Source organism: Homo sapiens, chromosome 10 (assembly GCF_000001405.40).
Source record: "Homo sapiens chromosome 10, GRCh38.p14 Primary Assembly".
Lineage (NCBI taxonomy): Eukaryota > Metazoa > Chordata > Mammalia > Primates > Hominidae > Homo > Homo sapiens.
In genome coordinates this window covers 125,514,952-125,520,032 of record NC_000010.11, presented here as the reverse complement: position 1 = coordinate 125,520,032, position 5,081 = coordinate 125,514,952, and the positions used below count along the sequence as shown (strand labels likewise).

The window sequence follows — 5,081 nt, the reverse complement described above, 5'->3', positions numbered from 1 at the left end:
ACTTTGATCACTTGATTAAGGTGGAATCTGCTCGACCTTTTTTTTCTATTTGTAATTAATTTTTCTATTTGATTTTGTTTTTTTCCTCTTTGTAATTAATAAGTATTTTGTGGGGAGGTAATTTGAGACTATGTAAACATCCTACCTCATCATACTTTCAATTTATTCATTTATTTATATCAATGTGGACTCGTGGTTTCCTATTTTATCCAGTGGGTCATAATCCATTACTAAAATGATGATTTAGTTTGACCCTCAAATTGTCCTAGATTTGGCAATGAGAGCCCCTTCAACCTGGCTCCTGTGTCTTTTTGGCATAATCCCATCATTTCTTAAGTACTTTCTTAGTTTTGGGCACGACAAGAAATTCCAAGCTCATTTTGTTCTTTCTCTGTGCCAGCCATGAAAGCAGCCATCTCTTCAGGGAGCCCAGGTTTCTTTCAGCAAGAATGGAATTTAGAAACCAATATCTAGGTGCTGGGTGTGCTCAATGCTATTGGAATGTCCCTGCTTCCAGGTTCTCTTGGTGGACAGAACTAGGAAATATATGTACACACACATACACACATTGACATTGACATTTGTTTCTCTTTCTGTATACATTGAAAACCATGTGTTCACACCAACACTCACAAGTTTTCAGCTTTCTTCTTTTCGATAATTGCAACTCCTTTCTCTGGCAACAAGAAACCTGGCTCCCATTATCCTTAACCTTAAGTATTTATTTAATCAGAGTCCAATGTGAATGCCCTCCTCATGCACACGGGCCCTGACAGCCCTCATCAACCTGTCTCCACCCCCCACCCCATGAAGATATCCTTCTTATTTATTTATTTATTTATTTATTTATTTATTTTTATTGATCATTCTTGGGTGTTTCTCACAGAGGGGGATTTGGCAGGGTCATAGGACAATAGTGGAGGGAAGGTCAGCAGATAAACAAGTGAACAAAGGTCTCTGGTTTTCCTAGGCAGAGGACCCTGCGGCCTTCCGCAGTGTTTGTGTCCCTGGGTACTTGAGATTAGGGAGTGGTGATGACTCTTAAGGAGCATGCTGCCTTCAAGCATCTGTTTAACAAAGCACATCTTGCACTGCCCTTAATCCATTTAACCCTGAGTGGACACAGCACATGTTTCAGAGAGCACAGGGTTGGGGGTAAGGTCACAGATCAACAGGATAAGAATTTTTCTTAGCATAGAACAAAATGAAAAGTCTCCCATGTCTACCTCTTTCTACACAGACCCGGCAACCATCCGATTTCTCAATCTTTTCCCCACCTTTCCCCCCTTTCTATTCCACAAAACCGCCATTGTCATCTTGGCTCGTTCTCAATGAGCTGTTGGGTACACCTCCCAGACGGGGTGGTCTGGGCAGAGGGGCTCCTCACTTCCCAGTAGGGGCGGCTGGCCGGGCGGGCGCTGTCCCCCCCACCTCCTTCCCGGACGGGGCGGCTGGCCTGGCGGGGGCTGACCCCCACCTCCCTCCTGGAAGGGGTGGCTGCCGGGCGGAGACGCTCCTCACTTCTCAGACGGGGCAGATGCTGGGCGGAGGGTCTCCTCACTTCTCAGACGGGGCGGCCGGGCAGAGACGCTCCTCACCTCCCAGACGGGGTCGCGGCCGGGCAGAGGCGCTCCTCACATCCCAGACGGGGCGGCGGGGCAGAGGCGCTCCCCACATCTCAGACGATGGGCGGCCGGGCAGAGACGCTCCTCACTTCCTAGACGGGATGGCGGCCGGGCAGAGACGCTCCTCACTTTCCAGACTGGGCAGCCAGGCAGAGGGGCTCCTCATGTCCCAGACGATGGGTGGCCAGGCAGAGACGCTCCTCACTTCCCAGGCGGGTTGGCGGCCAGGCAGAGGCTGCAATCTCGGCACTTTGGGAGGCCAAGGCAGGCGGCTGGGAGGTGGAGGTTGTAGCGAGCCGAGATCACGCCACTGCACTCCAGCCTGGGCACCATTGAGCACTGAGTGAACCAGACTCCGTCTGCAATCCCGGCACCTCGGGAGGCCGAGGCTGGCGGATCACTCGCAGTTAGGAGCTGGAGACCATCCCGGCCAACACAGCAAAACCCCGTCTCCACCAAAAAAATACAAAATCCAGTCAGGTGTGGCGGCGCGTGCCTGCAATCGCAGGCACTGGGCAGGCTGAGGCAGGAGAATCAGGCAGGGAGGTTGCAGTGAGCCGAGATGGCAGCAGTACAGTCCAGCTTCAGCTCGACATCAGAGGGAGACCGTGGAAAGAGAGGGAGGGGGAGACCGTGGGGAGAGGGAGAGGGGGAGGGGGAGGGGGAGGGGGAGGGGAAGTTTTTCGAAGATATCCTTCTTTACCCATTCCAACATCCTGCACTGGGCAGCTGCCTTCCCCTGAGTGTGGACACCCACGTCACTCCAGTGGGGTGCCACATCCCTGCTCTGGGCCCCTGTAGCTCTGCCAGTTCCATCCCCTGCACAGATGTCTACCTTGTTCAACCCTACCTGTGGGCTTTTGCATTGAATTTCTATCAACCTCTTTGCCAGTCTATACTGGCTTAGTAAGCTATTATAATCTAAGTGGGCTTTCTGGGGGCTGCATAGTCTCAGAAAATTGGGGGTATCGTTTAAGGGAGCCTCCAATGGGGCCTGAGAGAGGCAGTCACTTCCTCTACCTCACCTGGCCAGCCCGAATGAAAGTTGTCATTGGGCTCAGATATAACACAAATGTGTGGGTCCAGCTGTGACCCCCACACTACAAAGCCTGGATGAAGGGCCCTTGCAGCAGAATGGCTTTTGCCATCTTCCAACACTTTCCACAGAAAATGATACCTTTTCCTGACCCATCCCTTCTTAAGTTTGGCTGGAGACAGAACTTGCCCGGGTGTAGCTGCCTCAGGGGACATGAGATGGAACGGAGCCTTCTGCTCACACCCACCTCCCCAAGGGATTGAACTGTCCTTCTGTCTTGCTGTGCACCATTGAAAGACTAGGAAACAGAGAAGGGAAAGGCCTCAGTGGAAAGGTTCTTGAATGTAGATCTGATATTTCAAATATGATAAAGATACTATTGTCTTTTGCCACTCAATGCCTGAGGGTGAAACTGAGTGAACTTAATGTATCATGGAAATCATTATGAGATAATTTTGATTGCTAAGTCATTCCATCTACACTGGAAATTGTTAACAAGCATTGTCCATACTCATAAACATTTAATATTTTATAATTTTTATTTTATGCCTATAATAAAAATGATTTAACTGTGTTGTCTTATATCTGAGAGGTTTGGAAATGTTTGTACTTGGATGATTACATTTTTTGGCTCTCTGACACTTATTTGAAAGGATATCATTTCTCAGTTTTCTTTTTCTTACATTTCAACAAAATGATACAGTGAGGAGGAAAACTGACCGTACTCAGGGAACTTAAATAACTGTGAGAACATTCCAGTCACAGGTTCAGATGTGTTCATAAGAAACCCGAGGTGTAAGTTTGTCACGGCATTTGCAGGTTTCTGTTTCTCAGGAATCATCTTTTATTTTGATCACAGTCACCCAAGCTCCATCTCCAGAGGCCAGCAGGGATTTAGCCGGCCTGTTGTGTCTGAGAATCTCCCTCACACACAAAAGAACATTCCAGCAACTCCAAGATGGGGTCCAGAGAGCATCTAGGCATGGTTTAGAACCCCGCCTAGTGAGGCATGTTAATACAGAGCATTCCTCTCTTTGTTTTAAATATTTATTTATTATTTTTATTTTTTTTGAGACAGAGTCTCGCTCTGTCACCCAGGCTGGAGTGCAGTGGTGCAATCTCAGCTCACTGCAACCTCCGGCTCCCAGGTTCAAGTGGTTCTCCTGCCTCAGCCTCCCGAGTAGCTGGGACTACAGGCACCCACCACCAGGCTGTGCTAATTTTTTGTATTTTTAGTAGGGAAGGGATTTCACCATGTTGGCCAGGCTGGTCTTGAACTCCCAACCTCAGATAATCCACCTGCCTCCCAAAGTGCTGGAATTCCAGGCATGAGACACCGTGCCCGGCCTTAAATATATATATTTTTAAATCCAGATCACTTTAAGCTTTTATTTTATTTTTATCTATTTGCTTCAGCTTAAAAAAAACGTTTTAACCTGGATGGCTTCAGGGAAGCCAATGCCTGGAGCGCAGCCACCGTCGTCGCTAAGGCTTTTTGCAGCTCCCCCAGGGACTGATCTGACTGGGGGAAGCAGAGAGAAAATGATTCTTTGTGCTTCCTGTACTCAGATTGGAATGTCTGCCCCTTGCCTCTGCATATCTCAGACCAGGGATCCTTCAAGGCCTGCTCCTCACAGCCGGAAGCCACCCTCCCATCCTTGGAAGGGAGGTTTTCCCTCTGGAGCCTTGCTGGTGGCACTCACCGCTAGAGACAAAGCAGGATGGCCGTTCCTGTCTGGTGTCCCACCCTCAGATCTCTCTGGGTGACTTTCACTTCTTGAAGCCAAATACTGAATTGCATTCCACCTCAGCAGCCCATGAACAGTTGAATGAATGCAGGAAAGGAGACAATCAAGGGGAAAGGCAGTGTCTGGAGGAAAGAGCACGATGTCGTTATCACAGAGATGATGATCCTTCTCCCTCATTTTCATAAGTGTGAGGCATCTGAGCTAAGGAGAGGAAATGTCTTGCCAGGCAAGGGTGGACGCTGCTCTCCAATATCCCCGTAGCCTTGGCTGAAATATTCTGAAATTCTCCTCCTGAAATCTTTATAGCTTGGAAATACCTGTGAAGAATGAGAAAAGTGTTCACTGCTTCAAAGTCAGCTCAGGCCCTGGGAAGTGAAACGTGAGATAAAAACCCAAATCTTTAAAGAGAAAAAAGCCCTGTTGGTTTGCTGAAGACAGAAACAGGTGAGAATGCAGCATGATGACGACAGAGAGCCCGGACCACATCTAGGGACACACTCCACCCACGCCTTCCAGCCCCACCTCAAAGGTGACTGTGAACCCTGCGACGTTGACAACAGCCGCACTGAGGGTGCGGCAATGAGGCTGTGCCCGCCAGCGGCAGTCGGAGGCATGGTGGCCTTGGGGCTCCTCTTTCTCTCCTCCCAATTGTGTGTCATGGTATTTTGGCCT

General features: G+C 49.1%; 1 annotated feature.

Moving 5' to 3' along the window:
• Positions 1,392-2,134: an enhancer, noted in NCBI's record as "H3K27ac hESC enhancer chr10:127206468-127207210 (GRCh37/hg19 assembly coordinates)". NCBI's record gives its function as "activates a minimal SCP1, AML or CMV promoter by ChIP-STARR-seq in primed H9 embryonic stem cells {active_cell/tissue: H9 hESC(primed)}" and the evidence as "EXISTENCE:reporter gene assay evidence [ECO:0000049][PMID:30033119]".